Source organism: Homo sapiens, chromosome 9 (genome assembly GCF_000001405.40).
Source record: "Homo sapiens chromosome 9, GRCh38.p14 Primary Assembly".
In the NCBI taxonomy this organism is placed as follows: Eukaryota; Metazoa; Chordata; class Mammalia; order Primates; family Hominidae; genus Homo; species Homo sapiens.
The window spans coordinates 84,294,591-84,320,013 of record NC_000009.12 but is presented as its reverse complement, the minus strand read 5'-3'; the positions used below and the strand labels follow the sequence as shown (position 1 = coordinate 84,320,013).

Here is a 25,423-nt window from a genome sequence, read left to right as displayed (position 1 = left end):
ACATAAGTAAAAAGTACAGCTAGAAGATGGACAAAGGATACTTATCTATGAATTTTTGGCTGCAGGGCAATAAAAAATTAATAAAGGTGCAAATATTAGCGTTCAAGGGGGTCAGGGGTTAAGTAATATCGTGTATGGGAAAGCACAGCACCATGGCTGGCAGAGTCATGAGTGAAGGCGTGGTCACATTGCTCTCAGAACAGCTTCTCTGTGAGTGACTTTAGACTTCTCTGGTCTCCTTCCCAAATGCATAGGAAGTTCTTATGGCAGTGTCTTTCTCTACTCAAACAAATCAGCCTAAGTCAGAAAAAGGCAAGGAACAGTAACGGGAAACTAGAGCCAGTTTGAAATAGTCACACATTAATAAACACAAATGATCAACACAAGTATCAAAAGCAACAATAAGAGTGAAAGATAACCCAACAGCCGCAAGGGTAATGGTATCTTGGAGTGGACAATTCTGCATTTGTGACTTTTTACAAAATAATTTTTATGTTTTTATTTAAAAAAATAGAGAGACAAGGGTTCACCATGTTGCTCAACCTGGTCTCAAACTCCTGAGTCCAAGTGACCCGTCTGCCTCAGCCCCCCAAAGTGCTGGGATTACAGGTGTGAGCCACTGCACCCAGTCCATGATGACTTTTAACTAGCCCCCAGCTCTGGAAACCCTGTATTTAAGGAAGAAATAAAAATATACATCAATGCATTTGGAACAATTTAACTCAGGCCTTTTGGTCTTATTCTTGATATGGTTAATGTCATAGATAAATAAAGCTGAACACTCATTAAAGTGATGAAGATGGATTTCAGTGAGTAATAAACTATTGCAGTAGGGAAGAGGGCCCAGCGTGACCTGAAGTAGGAAATTGGCCTACTTATCCTACCTCCTACGTTTTCTTTTCCTTCCCCTTCAAGTAGCCTTCTAATGATTTTTTCTACTTTGGCAGAGGACATAATGTTTATAATTTGTTCTAGAATCATAATCCCTGGAATCATCTTAGATTTTATTATCAAATAGATTCAAAATGTACTAACTCTCTTTTTTTCATAATTTCTCCGTTTATCATTTGTATGGCTTCTTCCTCTAGCAGTTTCTTCAAGAAAGCTCATGGAAACCATATTCCTTTTTCTTTTTTTTTTTTCTGAGACAGGGTTTCACTTTTGTTGCCCAGGCTGGAGTGCAATGGCACAATCTCAGCTCACTGCAACCTCCGCCTCCCAGATTCAAGAGATTCTCCTGTCTCACCCTCCCGAGTAGCTGGGATTACAGGCACAGGCCACCACGCCCGGCTAATTTTTGTATTTTTAGTAGAGATGGGGTTTCATCATATTGGTCAGGCTGATCTCAAACTCCTGACCTCAGGCGATCCAACCTCCTCAGCCTTCCAAAGTGCTGGGATTACAGGGGTGAGTCACCACGCCCGGCCTGGAAACCATATTCTATGAGGACTCACATGTTTAAACTTTCTTAAAACTCTTATTATAAACCTTCCTTTAAGTTTTCTCCTTCGGGTACAGCACTCCCTCTCTTTCCCCTTTCCCTGACATTCCCATACATATGGGTTTCCTCTGCCTCCTGGCTCACAAAGTTCCCAAGGGAAGAATGTTAACAGTGTTCTGAAGCCATAGACATTGCTAGTGTTACAGCCACTCACAGCAGCATACAGAGACTTGACTTCTTGCACCCAATCCAAAGATCCCTCAGCATTGAAAGGTAACAGTGAGCCCCAGGCTGCCCACTGGGTCTCTTGCCACAGGTACTGCTGCTCCTTACCTGGCCTCTAAACCCACACAGGCAGGCAGGTAAAACAAGAACATCTCTGGGGAATGGTCTAGCTAGTGCCCATTAACTCACACTAAGGATTATGCACACCCGAGACTTGAGCCAGAAAGTTACATGAACCAAGTGAGTCAAGACCAATAGATAACGATCAAGGACTTCTAAAATACAGTCTTTGAAAATGCAATCATTCCTAGGCAAAATCCATGCAGTCGAAGAATAACATTTAGAGAAAGGGCCTTAAAACATTTGACATTGGTAGATGGTAAGAGTAAAAAAAGAGTTGAAGTGGGGTATGATCCCAAACAATTTTGAGAGATCAGATTCACCAAACAGATGTTGATTTTGATAAGTCTAATTTCAAATACAGAGGACAACACGACTGTAAATGCCCCAGAACAAGCGAGAAGCAAACTAAACCATGAAATTAACTTAATAGTCAATGAGCACTTACTATGTGTGCCACTGGATGGAGCCACCCAACTTTGTTAGGTAGGTACTGCCTCCATTCCCACAAGAAGCAAGACCACTGAATGAGTGCAAGACCACTCATGCAATTTGCTCTGGCAACCAGGCCAGAGCAAATTCTATAGTGAAGAAAGGCTCTCCTAGCACAGTGGTGGTACCTCTGCAGCAGAAAAACCCCCACCACAAGAACTGAGAAATGGAAGCCAGGCTGTGTGATTACAGCACAGTGCCAGGGAGAGGCTGAAGAATGTCAAACCAGCCATGATGACAAGACATGTCCACAGAGGCAGGAGTCCCCACCCATGTTACTCAAAGGATATATTCCACTTAAAACCAGCGTACAGGGCAGGAAGACCACTATTGTGGCTTGAGAAATGACCACAGAGCCTAGGTGTAGCTAAAAGTGGCCACAAGCTTCTCTGGAACTTTCAACACTTCTATAATTTATACCTTTGTCTTTTAATATCTGGAGTTCAAATCAGGCTTTCTAAGTTCTAATTTCCAAACGGAATTTAATTCCTAGGCACACTACTGTGTCTTTTGATCTTCACCAGGCCCAAAGAATCACTCCTCTATAGGCACAAGATGGTCTGGGGAGGGACAGTCTGGGCTGAGATTCTACCCCAGCCATTTCTGGCTACACAACCCAAGTCAAGTGATTTACTTATCTTTGCCTCAGTTTCCTCATCTGTGAAAATGTGGATCATGGTACCCACCTCATAGGCCTCTTGGAGTTGTTGTTGTTGTTGTTGTTGTTGTTGTTTTGAGACGGAGTCTTGCTCTGTCGCCCGGGCTGGAGTGCACTGGTACGATCTTGGCTCATTGCAACCTCCACTTCCCTGGTTCAAGCGATTCTTCTGCCTCAGCCTCCCAAGTAGCTGGGACTACAGGTGCCCGCCACCACGCCCAGCTAACTTTTGTATTTTTAGTAGAGACGAGGTGTTACCATATTGGCCAGGCTGGTCTCGAACACCTGACCTCATCATCCGCCCGCCTTGGCCTCCCAATGTGCTGGGATTACAGGCATAAGCCACCACGCCCAGACAAGAGTTTTACACAGTGTCTCCTGCCTACTAAATACTGTATCATTTGGTGCAAAATAAAAGCAAAAACCAAAAGTAACAAGAGAAAAGTTAGTTTCATCCCAATAAAGTTGAGGTGGATGGTACAGAGCCGGGGTGAGCCTCCTGCTCAAGGCTTCCAGGGACCCAAGTTCCTCCCAACTCAGCACCCTGACATCACAAGGATGTGGGCCTTGTATCCATGGTCCAGTTGGAACCATCCTCACACTGGGCAGCAAGACAGAGGAAATGACAAAAAGGAACAAGTGCACCTGCCAGCCATCCCTGGCGGAACATTCCCCGAGCTGCCCCCAACAGGGCACCCTTTCTACTTTCATTTCGTTGCCAGAACTTAGTTGCAAGGGAAGCTTGGATATGTAATCTTTTTCCTAGGTGACCATGTGTCAGCTAACATTCTTTGAAAAGGGATACCACAAATAGGGGAGTCATTTTAGAAATTTCCAGTGTTCTAGAAGTTATTATATGGTTTAGAAAGTGAATGAAAGGAAGAAAATAAAAATGCCTCTGTCCATCTCTGCCTCCCTCTAATAGCCACATAGAAAGTGCAAGATCAAAGAAATGGTGGGAAACAAACCCCAGGCACAATGTACTCCTGGTTACTAGGCTGTCCCTTCAAAGGGGGCTCAATCAGGACCCTCATCTTTTAGCACACCTAACAACTAAAACTAACTAGAGAAATTAAATGTGTAAGCTGTAAACGGCCTAGACATACTCACAATGCAATTCCCTCACCTTTCTTACACATTCAACAGAGGGATAGATTTTACCATGAGAACGCAGTCGTGGTTGTAGGGCGTTAAGTGTGCAAAGGTATTTAGTAATGTGAGTTGCTAAATAAATGGAAAGAAACATTGAGCTAAGACATTATCTGGGGCCCCATATCACAGCCCCACGACTCTAATTTAAAAAGAAGAAGAAAGACAGTTGTCTTAATGGTCATTTTCCAGGTACCAGTCAATATCCACAATAACCCCACTAATTCTGTTGGAAATCCTCAAGTGGGAGATATTGTTCTTCCAGAAAATACTAAAAGGCCAAGGCGTATACTCTGTTGGGGGCCAAATAAGACTATTACACAGTGGAGAACAAAACCACACGTGCTCTTGTTGCCACTTAAAGGAGTGCCCACTCTATCCCTCAACACACACACCTTCCACTTTCATTAACTTTAAAAACGTAGGATCCACCCGTGTTCCACCAGTAGTTTTCAGATCCTGCCACCAGGTGGCAGGAGGAATCAACGTCAAGAAGCTGAATCTCCTAATAGAATTAGAAAATGTCAGGATTCCGTAAGGATCCGCAAGAACCCCAAATCCAAACTGTGTTGTATGAATGAGGGAGTTAAGGCTTGAGAGAATGTGGCCTGCTCAGTAGGGACCCTAAGGACTAGCCCCTCAGTGACCTGTGTTCTGTTACTCCACCAATTCATGTTTGGTTTTATTTTTAACTTAGTATTAAGGAACATTTTAGCATCCACCAAAGTAGGAGAATAATAAAATGATTCTCCGGGTACCTGTCAGCCAACTTCAGCAATTAGCAACATTCTGTCATCTTCCCATACTATGTATATTTTTTCTTTTCATGCTGTTTGTTTGTTTGTTTTTTGAGACTGAGTCTCGCTCTGTCGCCCAGGCTGGAGTGCAGAGTGGTGTGATCTCAGCTCACTGCAACCTCTGCCTCCCAGGTTCAAGCAATTCTCCTGCCTCAGCCTCCCAAGTAGTTGGGATTACAAGCACCTGCCACCACGCCCAGCTAATGTTTGTATTTTTAGTAGAGACGGGGTTTCACCATGTTAGCCAGGATGGTCTCAATCTCCTGACCTCGTGATCCGCCCACCTTGGCCTCCCAAAGTGCTGGGATTACGGGCGTCAGCCACCACACCCAGCCCATGCTGTATTTTTATACCAAGAACCCAAGGGTACTACATTGCTGTGCTAATGCAACATTAAAATTACTGTGGGTCATTAATTCAAAACATTGTTAGTGTCTGCTATATGCAAAGAACTGTAGGATATAAGCAACTGTAACAAAAAAGGAAGTATGGCACAATACTTTGATGCATGAATCTTGTACTGTAACTTTTTTTTCATGTTTATTCATTCTTGTGTTTCAGTAAGTAGAAAATGCAATACAACTTGGAATTGCAATATTTGCTGGATTCCTGGGGCCAGTCAGAGATCTAAGTTAAAATTAGAGTCATACACTTGGTCTTTGAAGATGCAGTCATAGTCGTTGGGCTAACAGAAGGCATTTCCTGACACCATTTATCCATTACCTCACTCTAGAAAACGGCAAGTTGAAATGAGATGGGAGAAATATTAGATACCTCAAAAAAGATAAAAGAGACAGGAGACAGGTCCAGTGTTTGTCACTTCTGGAAACAGCAGCTGAGGGGTCCGGACGGCCCTATAAGAGCAAATCTCGTTCAGTTCCTTAAAGTAAAATCAAGACAGCCTCACACACACACAAAAAAGGGCATTTTTCTTATGACCATTACTGCCAGAGATTGCTTTAAACCAAAAAAAACCCATTTCAACATTTCGTAAATCTAACATCTAAGAATAAGGCTATTCAGCCTATGGTTTACCACGTTTTAGTTCATTTTATAAGTTGAAAATCAGTGTGATGTGATAGAAAGGAGAGTGGAAACCTGCCCCTGGTCCCAGCTCTGCCTATTGGAAAGTTATCAGGCCGAGATGAGGGCAATTGTCCTCATTCCTCTCTTCCCCTGGACCACTTTTGTATCAGAACAAAACAAAGCAAAAGTCATATGTTTCTTTTCTTTACTTTCTTTTCTTTTCTTTTTTTTTTTTTTCAGGTAGAGTCTTGCTGTGTCTCCCAGGCTGGAGTGCAGTGGCATGATCTGCCTCTGGGGCTCAAGCAATTCTCCTACCTCAGCCTCCCAAGTAGCTGGGATTATAGGTGCACAACACCACGCCCAGCTAATTTTTATATTTTTAGTAGACACAGGATTTTGCCCAGGCTGGTCTCCCCTCCCACTTCGGCCTCCCATCATGCTGGGATTACAGGTACGAACCACTGTGCCCAGCCGATCATCTGTTTCTTTACAAGCCCAGGATTTGTCAGCTGTTTGTTGAATCGGATGCTTCATCTGAACACCTAATCTTTGTTTGTCTCATCCTCCAAATTCCTCTAGGTATTTTTCATGAAAGAACATCTGTCTTTTGGCTGTAACTTTTTATTTTTTCAATCTGCACTTTTTTCTTAGAATGAAGAAAACTTTCTTGAGAACGAGAACACATCAGGAAACAACTCAATAAGAAGCAGAGCTGTGCAAAGCAGGGAGCACACAAACACCAAACAGGTACAGCAAGACTGTGGTGCATGACTCTAGTACCATGGCAGCCGCTGCGCAACAGGCACCTGAGAACAGTGGGCACAGAAAGCATGGCGCCCCACTGGCACGCAGAGGAACAGATTAAGTGGTAATTAAAGTGTGTGGGGGCATAGTCGTAAAGAAAACACACACGCCCAAACAAAGAGATTTTGTTTTTATCCACCTGTCCTCAGAGTTCCCTGATGGGAAGCATCACTTCACTATTAGGAGTTCCAAGCTCCATCTCAAGGAAAAAGGCATTGGCTTAGACAAAAGCATCTGAGCTTTAACGTAAATGACAGAAACAAGAGGAACCCTCTACTATGGTTCTGAATCTGGGTCCATCATGCACTCGCATTCCTTAGTAGCTTTATACCAGTCCGAGGGACTCTTGCTTAATTTCACTTACATGTTGAATTCTGGACAGGAGTTTATTTAAAGATGGCTTCCTGTTGCCAAAAAGGTGAACAAATTACCCATGTAGGTCACCCCTTAAAAGGTAATTCAGGGCCGGGCACGGTGGCTTATGCCTGTAATCCCAGCACTTTGGGAGGCTGAGGTGGGCGGATCACTTGAGGTCAGGAGTTCAAGACCAGCCTGGCCAACATGGTGAAAACCCATCTCTACTAAAAATACAAAAATTAGCTGGGCGTGGTGGCGTGTGCCTGTAATCCCAGCTACTCTGGAGGCTGAGGCAGGAGAATCACTTGAACCCAGGAGGTAGAGGTTGCAGTGAGCCGAGATGGCACCACTGTACTCCAGCCTGGGCGACAGAGCGAGATTCTCAAAAAAAAAAAAAAAAAAGGAATTTGGGGTGCCCACTAGTGTGTCATTTTGTGAGGAGTTTTCTCGTGGTAAAAGAATCACTTTTTTTTAAAGTAGACAATTTGGAAAACTTATTGTAGCAAAATTTGGAAAACCAAAAAAGGCTTATAATTCAAGAAAAAAAGTCAGTGCCTAACATTTTGGAACACAGCCTTTTTTAATGCAAACATACACCCACATGCATATGTCATCTGTATTGGAATCATACCATGCATAGTACAGTGTTTGGTAACTGTCTATTTTGCTTAATTGATTGTAAAAAATGTTCACTAAGTATTCTTCAACAAACAAAAAAGAAAACAATACTTATGTCCACATAAAAACCTACACATGGATGTTTAGAGCAGCTTTATTTGTAATTGCCAACACTTGGAAGTAACCAAAATGTCCTTCAGTAGGTGAATGAATAAATAAACTGTGGTACATTCAGACATGCAGTGTCTTTCAGCGCTAAAAAGAAATGAACTATCAAGCCATGAAAAGACATGAAGGAGCCTTAAATGTACATTACTGGGTAAAAGAAGCCAATCTAAAATGGCTACCTATTGTGCGATCCCAACTATACGACATTCTGGAAAATGCAAAACTATGGAGACAGTAAATAGTGCTTTCAAGGCATCAGGGGGTGGTAGGGACAAATAAGAAGTGTGGGGTTTTTTGTTTTTTTGAGATGGAATCTCGCTCTGTCAGCAGGCTGGAGTGCAGTGGCACAATCTCAGCTCACTGCAGTCTCCACCTCCCGGGTTCAGGTGATTCTCCTGCCTCAGCCTCCCGTGTAGTTGGGATTACCGGCACCCGTCACTGTGCCCAGCTAATTTTTTTTTTTGTATTTTTAGTAGAGACGGGGTTTCACCATGTTGGCCAGGATGGTCTTGATCTCCTGACCTTGTGATCCGCCTGCCTTGGCCTCCCAAAGTGCTGGGATTACAGGCATGAGTGACCACGCCTGGCCATAAGAAGATTTTTAGGGCCATGAAACTAGTATGCCTGATACTACAATGGTGGATACATGCCATCATACATGCGTCCAAACCCATAGAATGTACAAGACCAAGAGAGTCTCACTGCAGACTTTGGGTGATGGTGATGTGTCCATGTAGGCTCCTCAGTTGTAACAAATGTACTTCTCTGGGTTCATTTGATAGTGGGGAAGGTGAGGGTGGGTAGACAATACATGAAAAATCTCTATAGTTTCAGCTCCATTTTGCTGTGAACTTAAAACTGCTCTTTTAAAAATATTTTTAAAATATTTTTTTCATAAAAACAAAAATTTAGATATTTTTCAATTATAAATGAGGATATGAAGGCTGAGGAGTAGCTACTGGATTTGATAGCAATGGGCCTTGGGTGACATTGGCAGGATGCATTCAGCAGAAGCACAATCACAGTGGGTAGAGAAGTGGGCAGGGTGTGAGGAAGTGACCTCCAAAGAGTAAACACAACTCTCTCCAGCGGCCTGGCTGTGAAAGGAAAGAGCGGTGCAGATGTCCCATGATTGTGGGAGTCAAGGGAGATTTGTAGTTGTTGTTTTTAAAACATGAGAAAAGATGGAAAAATAAGAGCCAACAATAGTAATGTTAGATATACCATAGATAGCAGGTAACTTGGGGTACTTTCACTGCAAGAAAATAATAATGATGACCATTTAAATCAAATATTTACCAAACATTGACTATTGGCTAAGCTGGGAATTAGATAGAAATAAATAAATAAGACTCAACTCCAGCCCTTCCTCAGAAGCTGCAGCTTGGACTCAGCTGGTCTCTCTTACAATTATCCTCACACCTTCCTTGTTCCTAGGGTCCAGCCCAGAAAATGAAGGTAATCTGAATCAGAAGAACAATGGAGTTTGGCCTCGTGGAATTATAGGATTTTTGAGAATTCTTTCATCTCAGACACACACTAATGATTTATTTCTATGATTTCTGTTAAAGAGAATCAAAGGCCACATTGGATATGACAGAAGACAAGTGCTGAGATTTGACATTATACTTCTTAGAGCACACTCAAACTGCTCCACCTCCATCTATTTCCTCCCCCACCAGCTTCTGTACCATTGGTTACAAGAGCCAGGCTTATTATTTGAGACATTATTGGAGACTGGAGACAGGTAGGAAATCCTCTGCCATCCTGGAAATAGGATGGGTCATGGATATTTGAGAGCTCAAACTGTACCTAGAAAGATTGTCCATGAAAAAATGGGATGGGTCAGAGATATCCTACACTCAATTAATTAGAGCAAGGGCTAGCTGAGTAAGGGAAATAGTCCCCTTTAGCCCAACTGATAAAAGGATCCTAGTTCCCAAGGGGAGGCTTATTGGCTCTTGAAGGTGCCAAGCTAGTGTTCATATTCACAGACCAAGCCTTGGGCTGCCGGGGAAATAAATCCAGCTTTGGTCTCAGTCATTTGGAAACCGGGGCTGGCAGAGTACTAGGGGAGATTTATGCAGCTCCTGGTATTAACTTCATTTAGTACTTGGCTGAAAACAGAGATGGGGTTGGTTGATTACAAGAGAGACAGGAGCAAAAAGCACAAATATGAGCCTGTTCCCTTAAGAAAAGGAGAAAATACCAACAGCTCCTTTGGAAGGAAAGGAAGAGTTCAGTATGAACCTGGCATTTTTTGTGTGAGATTATAAGCCGGGAAAAAAAATGTCTGTGCAGTAGATAATAGGAGCCATCTTCTTGCATAATAATTTAAAAGGACCTATTGAAAGTTCTTTGCCCGAGTTCTGAGCAATGAAACCAGGGTCCATTATGCCCAGGATGCTCATTATTCCATCTCTGCTCCAATGTTTGATTTCCAGGATGAAGAACAGGTCACAGTTGAGCAGGATTCTCCAAGAAACAGAGAACACATGGAGGATGATGATGAGGAGATGCAACAAAAAGGGTACAGTCTTTAAAACAGGGAAATAACCAAGCCTACCTCCCGTTTGGTTTTATTACTTTGTTTTATCCCCATTTGATTTCTTTTTTTTTTTTTTTTTTTTTTTTTGAGATAAGAGTCTCACTTTGTCACCCAGGCTGGAGTGCAGTGATGTGATCTCGGCTCATTGCAACCTCCGCCTCCCAAGTTCAAGCGATTCTCCCATTTGAGCCTCCCGAGTAGCTGGGACTACAGGCGCATGCCACCACGCCTGGCTAATTTTTGTATTTTTAGTAGAGGCTGGGTTTCACCATGTTGGCCAGGCTGGTCTCGAACTCCTGACCTCAAATGATCCACCCACCTCGACCTCCCAAAGTGTTGGGATTACAAGCATGAGCCATGGCACCAGGCCTCCCATTTGATTTTTAACACTTATTATAATTTATTAGAGATTGTCACCACCCATCCATCTACCCTCCCTACCCAACACCCCTTCCAGAAAAATTAATGAAGCTTTAAGATGATCAATGTGGCCAATTCAAACTGCTGATGTTCTGGGAACCCAATATGCAGATTTAAATTCACCCAGGACAGTCTTCTAATTAAAAGTGTAAATTACCAAATAATTGCTCCAGTCCATACGAATGCAGTTAATTCATCTTCTCAATGTCAATCAATAGCAATTGATCGCTCAAAACCCAATCCACTTTAAATCCCAACAAACGGTTTCTCTTACCTTGTAATAGCCTCAAAGTATTCCAAGTTCTTACAACTCCGTAAGGTAGGAGACGCAAGATTAGTATCTTTATTTTTTGGACCAGAAAAATGAACCTCAGAGAAGTGACTTCCCCAAGTCAACTAGGAGAGGAAGAGAATTAGGTCACAATTTCAGCTTCTGATTCCTAGTCCAGGATTGTCTGCCACCTATCATAACACTACAGTATTTGTCCATCTTCTATATTCCTACTTAAATTTGATTTGCATTCCTATGTCTCTGAGGAAATTTTTCTTTTTTCTTTTTTAGAGGCAGGGGCTTACTCTGTTGCATAGGCTGGAGTTCAGTGGTGCTAATTTTAAATCTAGAAATAGATTTTAAATTTTTTTTTTGAGATGGAGTCTTGCTCTGTTGCCCAGGCTGGAGTGCAGTGGCACAATCTCAGCTCACTGAAACCTCCATCTCCCGGGTTCAAGCAATTATCCTGCCTCAGCCTCCCGAGTAGCTGGGATTACAGGCATGCACCATCGTGCCCGGCTAATTTTTGCATTTTTAGTAGAGACAGGGTTTCACCATGTTGGCCAGGCTGGTCTTGAACTCCTGACCTCAGGTGGTCTGCTTGCCTCAGCCTCCCAAAGTGCCAGGATTACAGGTGTGAGCCACCACGCCCGGCCAGAAATATATTTTAATTTAAATCTATTCTGTCCAGCCTGGGCAACAGAGCAAGGCCCTGTCATGAGATCTGTCAAGCTCACTGCAGCCTCGACCTCCTGGGCTCAGGTGATCCTCCCACCTCAGCCTCGCAAGTAGCTGGGACTACAGGAGGAACTTTGTTATATGTATCAGAAGATATCTCTGGAGTTGGCCAGAATTAGGGTTGGCAGCTCTTGTCACATATACATCATCCCAAATATTTACCATATCAGAAACATAGCAAAGTTTTATCCTTCATTTTACTTTATGAGTCTCTGACCCGGAGGTACTGAGAAATTCTCTTGGGTGGTCAGAGGTACTCAGGTTTCACTAATGTTAATGAGACTGAAACAGCCATCAGGAGGTTGGGAATTATTCAGCCTAGATAACCAAATGACCAAAGTGTCTACTTTCAGCTACTCTGCTTTATGCAGAAGTCAGATTGCCACAATGGACTACACACATTCCCTGCAATTAAAGAACCTGATAGAGTCAACCTACAGTATGTGAATGTACCCTATTAAATGTCACCCTCTGCTGCTGCTGCTTCTTAATATATCTTCAACTGAGAATAATACATCATTAGCCTTTCCTAAATCAGACCGTGAAAAAATGTCTTCACTACACTTTTATTCACCCAATATTTTCTAGAGAGCACTGTTTCTAACTCTCAGTATACATATTCACACACATACATAATGATGAACATTTCATGAAGTGATACCTATTGTTCTTATGTATGAATGATACACTATGATACTTTTGATATTTTTATTCTTTCTTTTTGTTTTTGTTTTTGTTTTTTTTTTTTTTTGAGATGGAGTCTCGCTCTGTCTCCCAGGCTGGAATCCAATGGCGCAATTTTGGCTCACTGCAACCTCCGCCTCCTAGATTCAAGCGATTCTCCTGCCTTAGCCTCCCGAGTAGCTGGGATTACAGGCCTGTGCCACCACACCCGGCTAATTTTTGTATTTTTAGTAGAGACAGGGTTTCACCATGTTGGCCAGGCTGGCCTCAAATTCCTGACCTCAGTTGATCCACCCGCCTTGGCCTCCCAAAGTGCTGAGATTACAGGCTTGAGCCACCGCGCCTGGCCTTTTTTTTTTTTTTTTGGTTGAGACGGGGTGCAGTGACACAATTACAGCTCACTGCAGCCTTGACCGCTCGGGCTCAAGTGATTTTCCCATGCAGCTGGGACCACAGGTTTGTGCCATCACACGAAGCTTTTTTTTTTTTTTTTTTTTTTTTTTGTAGAGACAAGGTCTCACTGTGTTTCCCAGGCTGGTCTGAAACTCCTGGGCTCAAATAATCCTTCTACTTTGGCCTCTCAAAGTGCTAGGATTACAGGCATGAGCCACCACACCTGGCCTCCTTCTATTTTAATAGTGGTTACTATGTGGGCTTCATAACCCGCTAATGCATCCCCAACTCAGAGCTGTAAAATACTGTTTCAGATAAGCAATATTTACTCCCATTTCATTCATCTATCAATCAATACATGTCTGTTGAACATCCTTAATATCCAACGTTCTACTCATAGTGCTGTATGGCTCATAGACATCTGTTCTCCAGGGTCTCTGGCCCTGGGGGACTGAGAAGTTCTCTTGTGTGGTCACAGGCACTCAGGTTTCACTAAGGTTAATGGGTTGGGAATTATTCAGCCTAGATAACCAAAAGACTGGTTATTAACCAAATAACCAATATTTCCTGCTACTGGAATGGGTCAGTAATGGGTTCATAACAAAACACAATCAAAGAAGACAGTAAGAATAAAGTTCAGAGGCATGTATCTGTCTGAGAAAATGCAAGAAGACTTTTTAGAAGTCAAAAGCTTGAGCTGTGCCCCAAAGCTTGAGAGGAAGCTGACTTGGAGGTGCAGGCGAGACTGTTGGAAGGCGGGGTAGTGGAGGCACTGGCCAAGGGGAGTGCAGGTCTCCCAGCTTGGGGCCACATCCTTTGAGGTCCTGGAGTTTGGGAATCATCTATACGGGAGGAGAAATGGTCATTTTTAGAAGTGCTATCCCGTGGCCTGGAGGGGACAATGGGGAAATATGCAAGAAGTTCCTTCCACCCAGACTCAAGTGGGAGAAGGAGAGGCCTCCAAAGAAAGAGGCATCACACAGGAACGAGAAGATCCCCAAAGAAGGAGAGGAGAGCCATGTGGCTATGACCCTGGCCTCCCAGCTCACTCCTGGGGAACTGCTGGACACGATCCTCCTCCGAAGACATGACCCAACCTACACATTACTCACACACTACCCACCCAGCCCATAACAAAGCCCTGGATGGAAATAAAGACATTCCAACAACTCCAGAGCTTTCTGAGAAAGCTGTGACAACCCATTGGTTAATAGCCCTAACATCCAGGAAATCCTACTTTGCATTTTAAGCACACCCCATGAGGTCCATCAGTTTTGGACTAACGGGGATGGTGATGGGGGACAGAGCACCACCAACTTGCTCAAACTTTGCCAAACCAAGAGGGATGACAGAGTTCCTTGGCTTTTTATTTTCTAACAATAAACACGTAATAAACATTGGTTAAAAGCTAACAGAGGATCTCATAGTGTGCCAGAAACACTCTCTTCCTGTGACTATTTCAGCTTTGGTTAGATATCCATCTCCCCTGCTCTGTTCCCAGGAGCATGTTGTCTGCACCTCTCTAATCCCTCAGGGCTTGGCACACTTATTCAATGATGGTGATCACTGAATGGTCATGATCATGGCTGACTCTAGTCTAAAATGAAATGAGTTTCCCATTTCTATTTTGTAAGACATACGCCTCACACATGTGTTTGTTTGCCTTCTTAGTTTACAAAGCTTAATCTAGCCTCACCATGCAGTTTATTTCATGTTTTTGGTGTTTACTTCTCCCTGCCTTTTTGCTTTTATGTTGCAGGTGTTTGGAAAGGAGGTATGACACAGTATGTGGTTTCTGTAGGAAACACAAAACAACTCTTCGGCACATCATCTGGGGCATTTTATTAGCAGGTAAATAACAAAGATGGTTAGGGATACCACTGTCTTTTTTTTTTTTTTTTTCAGGGATTCCCCCAAATATTAACTTTATGTGGAAAAAGATTAAACCTTTATTTTCTCTGGGACCTCACTGAATCATCGGGGGTGGTAGAGAAGTAAATCAAGAAGCCCTTTATAGGGGAAGCCTATGCAAATTGTTTCCCTACCCCGTTTATGAGGCCAGAAGCTAATTTTGTTTTTCTTTGAGATGGAGTCTAGCTCTGTCTTCCAGGCTGGAGTGCAATGGCGCCATCTCAGCTCACTGCAACCTCTGCCTCCCGGGTTCAAGTGATTCTCCTGCCTCAGCCTCCTGAGTAGCTGGGATTACAGGCACACGTCACCACACCCGGCTAATTTTTGTATTTTTAGTAGAGACAGGGTTTCACTGTGTTGGCCGGGCTGGTCTCGAACTCCTGACCTCAGGTGATTTGCCCGCCTTGGCCTCCCAAAGTACTGGGATTACAAGCGTGATCCACTGTGCCGGGCCCAGCAGCTAATTTTTGGACTCACTTACTCTCCTCATTCTTATAGCCTTTGTTATTGTCAGGTGGATTTGAGGAGGTGTGTTGGTTTACACAAATCCAGAAAACACAAGTGATTAATGCTTTATATGAATACAACATGAGTAGCCTAGGGCCATCTAGCCCACTCGCTTGCCTGAAGGCAGGACAAGAATGTCTCCTGTTTTTACTCCCTCCAAAACAAAGAGCTCCTTGGCTCACTTTATTTGTTTTTTGTTTTGGTTTGTTTTTGTTTTTTTTTTTTGTTGTACTGTTATTTTTTGTTTTTCTTGAAGCTGAGCACACTGAACTTGGCCCATTTTAAAGAACACTCCTGTCTATAAAACGTAAGCACCCTGATCCAAACCACAGACATTAATCCCAGGCTGCTGCACAGCCAAGGTCAGCAGTTTTGCTGGTGCTCAGACAGTTGGAATAGGGAACAGTAGGGTTGGTGAGCTTTCTGAGTACTGGGCCAGATAGTATTTTAGGCTTTTCAGTATTTCAGACATAAGGTCAAAACCATGCCATTCTGCCACTGTAGTAACAAAGCAACCATAAACAATACATAAGTAGACAGACATGGCTGTATTCCAAAACAACTTTATTTCTAGAACACACATACAAACTGTCAACTGAAGAATCAATCACGAGGTTCAAACATTTGGAAAGGAAAGTCATAAAGGGTTGCAGCCTGCAAGGTGGCCATTCTGACAAGCTGGGAAGCGTAGTCTCCAACAGAAGCCAGAAACAAGTACTTTGAGGGAGGGAAGAATAAGACAGGAATTTATGCTGAAAGGATTGGCTAAGCATAAGTATTCAATAAGCTATAGGGGGAGTCATGAATATTTATGAAAGGAGACACATGCACATGCACAATTGAGATTTGTGCCTCTTTATGGAGCATGTGTATTAAAAAATAGCAGTGTTACCATGACCTGAGGGTGGAGTTTTCAGCCCTGTGAAGTCAAAAGGTAAAGCAAAGAACACAAAAACCCTCACTGTGCATCCTCCAAGACTGGCCAGAACCACTCCAGAGTCAGCGGTCTCATATCAAGAGGAAATGCCTTGTAAAACTGGTGAGCTGTCACGTCAAAATTCTAAAGAGGCAGGGCACGGTGGCTAATGCCTATAATCCCAGCACTTTTGGAGGCCGAGGTGGGTGGATCACCTGAGGTCAAGAGTTCAAGACCAGCCTAACCAACATGGTGAAACCCCGTCTCTACTAAAAATACAAAATTAACCGGGCGTGGTGGCACATGCCTGTAATCCCAGGTACTCAGGAGGCTAAGGCAGGAGAATCACTTGAACCTGGGAGGTGGAGGTTGCAGTGAGCCGAGATCGCACCATTGCACTTTATCCTGGGCAACAAGAGCAAAACTCCATATCAAACAAACAAAAACTCTAAAGAGGGAGAGGGAGTCTGGTCACCACCTCAGATGATTGGCTAAAGGCGATAGAGAAATGAGTCTTCCATTTCTTGTTTTCCAGAGCTAGTTTCTGCTGACTCCTTAGGAAGGAATTCTGGTTAAAGGTTAATAAGGAAGGGGCATACTGAGGCACATCTGACCTCCCATCCTGTCATGGTTGGGAACTCAGTTTTTAAGGTTTTTCTGGGATCCCCTTGGCCAAGACAGGCTCGGTTCAGTTGGTTGGGTGACTTAGGACTTTATTTTTATTTCTCAAAACACACAAATATAAACGTTCTTGCCACCTGCAAAAACAAGTGGCAGGCCAGATTTAACCTGCAGAACATCTTTGCAGACCTTTAAGAATAGGAAACCTTATTCTTATCCTAGAATCTGCTCTTCAAAAGCAGCCAGCTTGGTAATTGCCCCTACCTCTTTTCCTTAGAGACTCTGTGTCACTTAGAGAAGTAGTCTGTTGTTGGTAGGTCTATTCCTTCACTCAAATTTAGGCCAAATCTGAACTGCAAACCCCAAGAATCAGTACCTCTTTGCCAGTCGTCACTTCAACACTCGGCCTTTCTCTGATAGTAGCTCACCTGCCGAGACTGAATGCCAGTGGTAAAAATGGCCAGTACTTAGAGGCCCAATGATTGAGCATCAAGATTCAAGAACTCAGAAGGTCCTGTAAGAATAAAAATACCTAGCACCCTGTCCTCCTAGCATTCATGGTGGTAATTTTTGAGACTTGCTTTGAAAAATATCAAAAGACCCCATCAAAGAAGCCAGTAGCCATATCAAGAGCACTCCTGCATTCAGTGATATTTAATGATATTAAACCTCCCCTCACCTGCGCCAGAACAAGGCTGGAGCCTGGAGGCGTGTCCCAGTGGTTAGTGATGTTCAGTGTCTGTTTTTGCTTCCTGGACAGGTTATCTGGTTATGGTGATTTCGGCCTGTGTGCTGAACTTTCACAGAGCCCTTCCTCTTTTTGTGATCACCGTGGCTGCCATCTTCTTTGTTGTCTGGGATCACCTGATGGCCAAATACGAACATCGAATTGATGAGATGCTGTCTCCTGGCAGAAGGCTTCTAAACAGCCATTGGTTCTGGCTGAAGTGGTAAATGCAATTGGTTCTCTTATTTCAGTTAAGAGAGATAGTAGTCCTTTCCAACACCGTTTCAAAAATTTGTTCTGAAATTGCTTCCTCATTTATGGGATATGGAAGCTAGAAACACCCTAGGAAGTAATCTGTTACAATGTCTTCATTTTACAAACAGGAAATCAAAGCCTAGATGAGGCAATGACTCATTTGAAATGTATCCAAATGTCCTCACAAACTGCCTTAATGTCAAGTGTATTAAATGATAAAATGTTGTCCAAAAGATGTTGAGCATATTACGTTCCATGTGCTATATTAGGAAGAGACACCTCCATGCCTACGTATTAGGAAGTAGTTAGAAATATAGGATAGAGTGAAAGTTTTGTCATAGCAGGATGGCTTTCACTCTCCCTCTGACCTGTCAGTGGGAGGGCACCATGATCAATCAGTAATGTCTGTCCTGGCACAAGATAGGGAACAACACAAATGCCATCTAATCTCAGTACCTGTAAATAAAGAATTGGGTTATAAGTACAAACTGATGGAGATTGCTGATTATGTGTCTGTAAAGAGCTTTTATTTTTACCAACTTTTTTTCTTACACAAGTTGTACCCATTCTCTTTACAATTTATTTACAAAATGAGGATCATAGAACATGGGAGGCTGAGCACTCTTTTTCATGACCCATGGGGCTATGGTCAAAATAAAACTTAATTTTTTTCATTCATCATTCTTCCAATTTTATTCAATGGGAGATATCTACCCTATATTTTATAAAACTGCCAAAAGCCCATGACCCTTCTGAACACTCTTAGTAATAGTCCAATGTTTACAGCCTTTTCTTTTTTTTTTTTTTTTTTTTTTTTTGAGACAGAGTCTTGCTCTGTCACCCAGACTGGAGTGCAGTGGCACCATCTTGGCTCACTGCAACCTCCGCCTCCTGGGTTCAAATGATTCTCGTGCCTCAGCCTCCCAAATAGCTCAGCCTCCCATGTACCGCCATACCCAGCTAATTTTTTTGTGTTTTTAGTAGAGACGGGTGTTTCACCATATTGCTCAGGCTGGTCTTGAACTCCTGGCCTCCAGTGATCCTCCTGCCTCAGCCTCCCAAAGTGCTGGGATTATAGGTGTCAGCCACTGTGCCCAGCCTATTTTTTAAATTTTTAATTGTTGTGGGTATGTCGTAGGTGTATATATATTTACGGGGTATATGAGATATTTTGATACAGGCATCATGGATATTTTTTAACATCAGAATATGCTGTCCCCTACAGTAATGAGAACTGTGAACATGACCCAGTGCCCTAGTTTTCCTCCCTAGCCTGGGCCTGAGTGTCCCCTTTCTCCTTGTTACTTGCTCCCCTGCCAGCCTCAAAGCCAGGATCAGCCTGGCTACCTGCTATGGATATGAAGCTGGCCTTCTTGGGAGGAAGGGCCTGTGAAGTGTTAGAGAGACCCTTTCCCATAGGACCCTGTGTCCTGCAGCAACTGCTCAGAGCTTTTCCTTCAGCCTCTCTCTGAGGGACCTCCTCTCCCTTCAGGTGGCCCCCTGAGCAGGACCCAAGACCAGTTCTCTCCCTCAAGACTAACGTGGGATCTACCAGGAAAATTCACACATCCTTGGCCTATTAAACTGGGCTTGTGCAATCCCAACACTGCAGGCTTTCTGGCTCTGCTGTGCAAGCCGTGAGTCCTGAGTCAGATTTGTCATGCTTGCTGGGCTCCCCAGAGGAGCCAGAACTTGCCCTAACGTCTGATCTCCCTCTCGGCCGCTGGTGAGGTCCCCCAAGGGCAGATAACATATTCCAAGTTCTTCCTTAAATGGAAGCAGGTAACACCTCACCCATCCCCCAAAACAAAGGTGAAGAATCCCAGTAGCTCTCTTAAAGAAATCACCAGACATTCCTCTCCAAACATGCTATCTCCTCTCTGGCCCCTTTGTGCATCCTTGAACAGGTGAAGGGCCCAAGAGTTGTAGAGTAAGGAGACCCAGTACTTAATTTTTTAGCTATTTGCCTTGATAGCCACAATCAAAAAAATCTGTTGCAGTTTCTAAACGCACAACCTACTGGTGCCAGAGTATATTCATCTTGTTTCTATGTTTCTTTGTTAATTTAAGCCTGATGGCTGGGAGTGGTGGCTCGCACCTGTAATCCCAGCACTTTGGGAGGCCGAGGCGGGCAATCGCCTGAGCTCAGGAGTTCAAGACCAGCCTGGCCAACATAGTGAAACCCCATCTCTACTAAAAATACAAAAATTAGCCAGGGGTGGTGGCAGATGCCTATAATCCCAGCTACTGGGGAGGCTGAGGCAGGAGAATTGCTTGAACCCGGGAAGTGGAGGTTGCAGTGAGCCAAGATCGCTCCATTCTACTCCAGCCTGGGCAACAGAGCAAGACTCCATCTCTCAAAAAAAAAAAAAATTAAGCCTGATTATGATTCTCAAGTTAGCACAACAAATGATGCCAATGCCTCCTTTCCCCTTCTCTTAGGGTGATCTGGAGCTCCCTGGTCCTAGCAGTTATTTTCTGGTTGGCCTTTGACACTGCCAAATTGGGTCAACAGCAGCTGGTGTCCTTCGGTGGGCTCATAATGTACATTGTCCTGTTATTTCTATTTTCCAAGTACCCAACCAGAGTAAGTATCCAGTTGATCTTTTAGGTTCTTTTTTCTTTTTCTCCCCATGTGTAAATTGCTCAAAATACTGATTGTGAGAGAATTTAACTATTGTTCAGTACTTTTCTTACCTTGATGGGATTATTTAACGTGACCAGGGTGCCCTATCTTCCTGAACTTTCATGGTACTGTTTGTTACTATTTCATGCTCCATTCTCAGTAATTTTCCAGTTACATAACCAGTGAGACGTTCTCTCCCTGTCAAGTCTAATTTCTTCTCGCATACCCTCCATCAAACACACAGAGAAAACTCATCCATTTTGATCCAGATTTCCCCAGACCAGTAAAAAATCTAATAGTCCTCCATTGGATCCTGCAGTTCATCGAAGTCCCATGCAGTTTGGGCATTTATACTCCAAAAATTTGTCCTTATACAATTTTCTTTTTAATATTGAACTCAACTCTTATCCTAGTTCTGTCCACTGGTAACCCGTGAAATGGGCAAGAATTCTGAGACATCAAATCTCTCATATGTAACTCAAGATGGCAAACTCTGGAAGACTTTACCATTAAAAGCAAGACCCAAGGAAAAAAACACAAATCAGAGACCAAGTTCAACTAATATGATCCAAGTTCTTTGCCCTGCTGAGGGGAACATCTCCATTGTCTATGCCTCCGATGCCATAGTTCTTTTGAAGCCACTCAGCCCTGCACCACAGATGAAAGCAAATGATCGTCCATTCCTGCTGCACATCCTGGGTCTGCATTTGAGTTTATTGGTCTCTTTTACAATGAAATGAGAGCCTCTTGACAGGGCAATATTTTACTTAATTCACTTACAGGTTGTCAGATCAACAAACCTTGGACGCACAGAGAAATCATGTTCTGCCTTTCCATTTTCCAGATAGGGGAAATAATTACATGTATCCAGTACTTACAGCTTGACTAGGATGGCCAGATTCTGCCTTCTTTAATGGCCCTTCTTAGACTACTGTTTCTATCCAAGTAATTTATCAGGACATAATGGTTACTTAAATACTTTCCTGGACTGAAGACTTGAAACTCAGTTTTAGGGAGAAGGAATGCAATGCTGAGTTTGTTTTTGTTTTTTTCTTGAGATGGAGTCTCGCTCTGTTGCCCAGGCTGGAGTGAAGTGGCGCGATCTCAGCTCACTGCAATCCTTGCCTCCTGTGTTCAAGTGACTCTCCTGCCTCAGCCTCCCGAGTAGCTGGGATTACAGGCATTCACCACCACGCCTGGCTTCTTTTTGTATTTTTAGTAGAGATGGGGTTTTGCCATGGTGGCCAGGCTGGTCTCAAACTCCTGAGCTCAGGTGATCTGCCCATTTTGGCCTCCCAAAGTGCTAGGATTACAGGCATGAGCCACTGCGCCTGGCCTGAGTTTTTTAAGTTATGGTTCTATCAAAGGGTTCTCTGCTTATGACAGCTGTAGCCTCCCAAAGAAGGTGGGTGACAGGCCACATCTGATAGTGTGTTCAAGGAAATAGTGATCCATTAGACATTCATGCCACGGCCTGCATTAATTTTCCTACTAAGACATATCACTTGATCTTTCTGTATAGGTTTACTGGAGACCTGTCTTATGGGGAATCGGGCTACAGTTTCTTCTTGGGCTCTTGATTCTAAGGACTGACCCTGGATTTATAGCTTTTGATTGGTTGGGCAGACAAGTTCAGGTAAGTTTGGTTCAAAAGAACACTTTGCTTTTATGGTGCTTTTAACATTGGAGGTAATCCTCAAGACGTGTCAGAAATGGGTTTATCTGTCTGCATGAGTTGTCTCAAATTTTAATTCTGCATCATGGGTTAGACAAATAGTTTTGCTTATGTTGAATATGTTAGTCTGTCTGGTTTGTTAACACTACTGCTGTTCTGTACCTATGTCATCGTTCCCTAATCCATTGCCCACATCCTCCTCCCCAGGAACTATCATACTTCTTAGATGTTTCCACAGACAGAGAAACAGGCTTCCTTTGCATCCAGTGCTAACTAATGCCACCTACAAGCCATGTATGGCTCCCAACACATTGCCACAGTTGGCTCATTCTGTAGCATTCTAGAGTCAGACTGAATGTCAGAAATGTCAGGAAATTTGTATCCAGGAATATTTCAAAAATATGCTTCTACACCATTCATTGGAGGGGGCAAAGCTGAGAACATTAACTTTCCAAGTCTATCCAACACATTTGCTGGGTCCGTCCTCTGAGAGCCTAGCATTCCTGTGCACTGTCTAATTTCCAGTCATGTGGTTGGAATGAAATCTCTTTTTCTTTCTTTAACTCAGACTTTTCTGGAGTACACAGATGCTGGTGCTTCATTTGTCTTTGGTGAGAAATACAAAGACCACTTCTTTGCATTTAAGGTAAAGTCAAACCTTTTTTCTATGTAGTCGCTGCTATTTCAGCGGCTTCTGTCTTTGTAGATGTTCAGATAGAACTTAACTGACCAAAAACCAGGTATATACCTACTGCGCTGGTCAGAGGTGTGCAATACATCACTGCTCTTTTCCACTGACAATGTTATCTGAAGTTAGTGGACTGCACGCATTTTACCTTGTTACTATGGAGTTAAGGGAAACATCTAGAGGAAGTCAGAACTATTCAAATACTAGGGAATGGGGCTTGTAGCTTTATCTGAGATACTTAGGAAAAATCAAAAGGGTAATAGCACCTTCGGCCTTCAGGGAAAAGAATATTATGTTCCCAGCAACAAGTAGGCATGTGGCAGTGAATGGCTGATGGGTCCAGGATCAGTGACAGCTCTGTATTCGAAAGCCCCTCAGTCCCAGTCCTTGGGGCAGCCGGTCAACCACATCAACCTCTGTTTTAGAGCCATCCCCGTGCTAAACGTTTCTCATCTCTCCTTCAGCATAGCCTTTGCCTAGGCAGGACTAGGGGATAGGCCTTCTCCTAACTAAAGAAGGAACATTATTTTACAGGGGAAAGGCAGCTTGGCCCCATGGCTGGCCACAGTCAGTTCCTTCTTGAGGCTCCCACATGCCCCAGGAAGCCCATCCTCCTCTGGGAAGTCCCTACAAACACTTGTCAATGAGTCAGAAACATGCATTCGGGTTTTCCTTCAGCTTTCTTTTTTTGTGGTGTGTTGTTATTCATACACTTCTAAATTGTTTTCTCACTTAGAGACTCCAAATTTACCTCCAAATTACCCCAGCTTCAGTTAGGCCAACTTTTAGGCTGAAAAAAGATTCAGCCTAAAACGTTAAACCAGCAGTTTAGTGGCAGGCTGGAGAAGAGAACCTCTGCTGTTTGTAAGAAGCCTGCAGTTTATACAGCATTTCACTTAGCACCCTCCCCCAGCAACCTCTACCTGGCAGTTTAGCTGGTTTGATGTTTTAGGGCTGAGATAACTCAGCCATCTCTGAAAGGCCAAATGTTTATAGAGTGAGATAGAAATATACTCATATCATGAAACGAATTCAGAATTGGAAAAAATAAAGTCATAAAGAAGGAATAACTTGCTACCCAGACTATACAGGTGTTTTCAGGCCTTCCCCCTCCCCTCTTCCAGGGCAGTGGCCCCTATTCTTTCCTGCCAATGCAGAATCCTCTGCTAACATTCCAGAGATGAGCCTCTTTAACTCCCTCAAGCTTTCAGGAAGGCACTGCCTACCCATTAAAGCCAATAAAAGGCTCATCGTGAGTGAGCTCTGAATACTGGCACAAAATGTCTTTTAATATATATTATTAATGGATTTTTTTCTAAATTAGATCCTGTACAAATTGTCCTCGGTCATTCTGTGCCTCTGGTAGCAGCTTTCTCTGGCCAGTTAGCCGGGGAACAGTAGGGAGGGGGTACAGTAGGATGAGGCTGAGGAGGGACCCAGCCCACAGCTCTTTGTGGTCTATGCAGGGTAGAAACTGCTCTCTGTGGAAACATTGGCTGCACTGAAGGCACCCAAAGAGCATCAGGAAAATAGGATCTAGGAAAATGCAATGGTTTTTTGTTTGTTTGTTTTGTTTGTTTGTTTGTTTGTTTTTGTGAGATGGACTCTTGCTCTGCCATCCAGGCTGGAGTGCAATGGCACAATCTCGGCTCTGCAACTTCTGCCTCCCAGGTTCAAGCAATCCTCCTGCCTCAGCCTCCCCAGTAGTTGGGATTACATGAGTGTGCCACCACGCCTGGCTAATTTTTGTATTTTTAGTAGAGACAGGGTTTCGCCATGTTGGCCAGGCTGGTCTCAAACTCCTGACCTCAGGTGATCCGCCCGCCTCAGCATCCCAAAGTGCTGGGATTACAGGTGTGAGCCACCGAGCCCAGCTGGAAAATACAATGGCCTTTAACACAGAACTAAAGTAGCTTCCAAAATGCAGTCACTTTTTAGTAATTTGAAAATCTATAGGTAAAATCACTATTATTTTAAAAGCTAGAAGAATGAATGTTTACTGCATAAGGTCATGACAGACCCCTATTGACTTCAGTAGGGGGGGCACCATGTTTGAGCGGCCAAAGAAAAGACCTGGAGCCAGCAAATGAGACATAGGGTTTATTGAGGGGGACTCACATGCAGGGCAGTCCAGTGGCAGCAGGCTAGAGAGGAGAACCGCTACTGTTTGTAAAAGGCAGGCAGTTTATATAGCATTCTCACTTAGTAACCTCCCCCAGCAACCTCCACCTCCCAACCTTCATTTAACCCAAAACAAAGGGCCTGGATCCCCCATATGGCCTGCTTTCCACGGAATGGGCCAAGGGTTCAGATATTCCTTATAGATAAGGAATGAATCTTTGGAATGGCCGCTCCCAGGTTCCTTAGTTTGGAACTCCAAACACACACGCTTAGACCATAGGGTCATTCTCAGGACATGCTGAAGTTATTGCTGTCAGGTGTGTCTGCCATCCAGTAGGAGGCACTATGTGTCAGCACCTACCATGCCTTACCTGATCTCTACAGCTACTCAGAATAAGGCTCTGAGGTTGCTCACAATTTATCTCAACTTAGGTTACTCTGCTAACTAGTGGTGAAGCCCATGTCTT

General features: G+C 43.5%; 1 protein-coding gene across 10 annotated transcripts in view, besides 2 other annotated features; it reads left to right on the top strand.

Moving 5' to 3' along the window:
* Positions 1-25,423, top strand: part of SLC28A3 (solute carrier family 28 member 3) — a 93,271-nt gene that overhangs the window by 48,714 nt on the left and 19,134 nt on the right. For 5 of the 10 annotated variants that reach the window (XM_011518906.3, XM_011518905.3, XM_047423712.1 and 2 more), the window contains 7 exons: positions 6,560-6,655; positions 9,427-9,602; positions 10,300-10,385; positions 17,625-17,814; positions 20,289-20,433; positions 21,995-22,108; positions 22,716-22,793. In XM_011518906.3, coding sequence (XP_011517208.1) covers positions 6,560-6,655; positions 9,427-9,602; positions 10,300-10,385; positions 17,625-17,814; positions 20,289-20,433; positions 21,995-22,108; positions 22,716-22,793 — 885 coding nt within the window. Of the gene's footprint in view, positions 1-6,559; positions 6,656-9,426; positions 9,603-10,299; positions 10,386-14,668; positions 14,761-17,624; positions 17,815-20,288; positions 20,434-20,455; positions 21,172-21,994; positions 22,109-22,715; positions 22,794-25,423 lie in introns of those variants that run through there. The other 5 variants (NM_022127.3, NM_001199633.2, NR_037638.3 and 2 more) reach the window with 4 other exon arrangements.
* Positions 16,827-18,026: an enhancer, noted in NCBI's record as "BRD4-independent group 4 enhancer chr9:86916903-86918102 (GRCh37/hg19 assembly coordinates)". NCBI's record gives its function as "activates an origin of replication core promoter dependent on BRD2, P300/CBP, MED14 and CDK7 cofactors, and independent of BRD4, by STARR-seq in HCT116 cells {active_cell/tissue: HCT116}" and the evidence as "EXISTENCE:reporter gene assay evidence [ECO:0000049][PMID:35650434]".
* Positions 23,383-23,912: an enhancer, noted in NCBI's record as "active region_28504". NCBI's record gives its function as "activates an Ori minimal core promoter by ATAC-STARR-seq in GM12878 lymphoblastoid cells {active_cell/tissue: GM12878}" and the evidence as "EXISTENCE:reporter gene assay evidence [ECO:0000049][PMID:35858748]".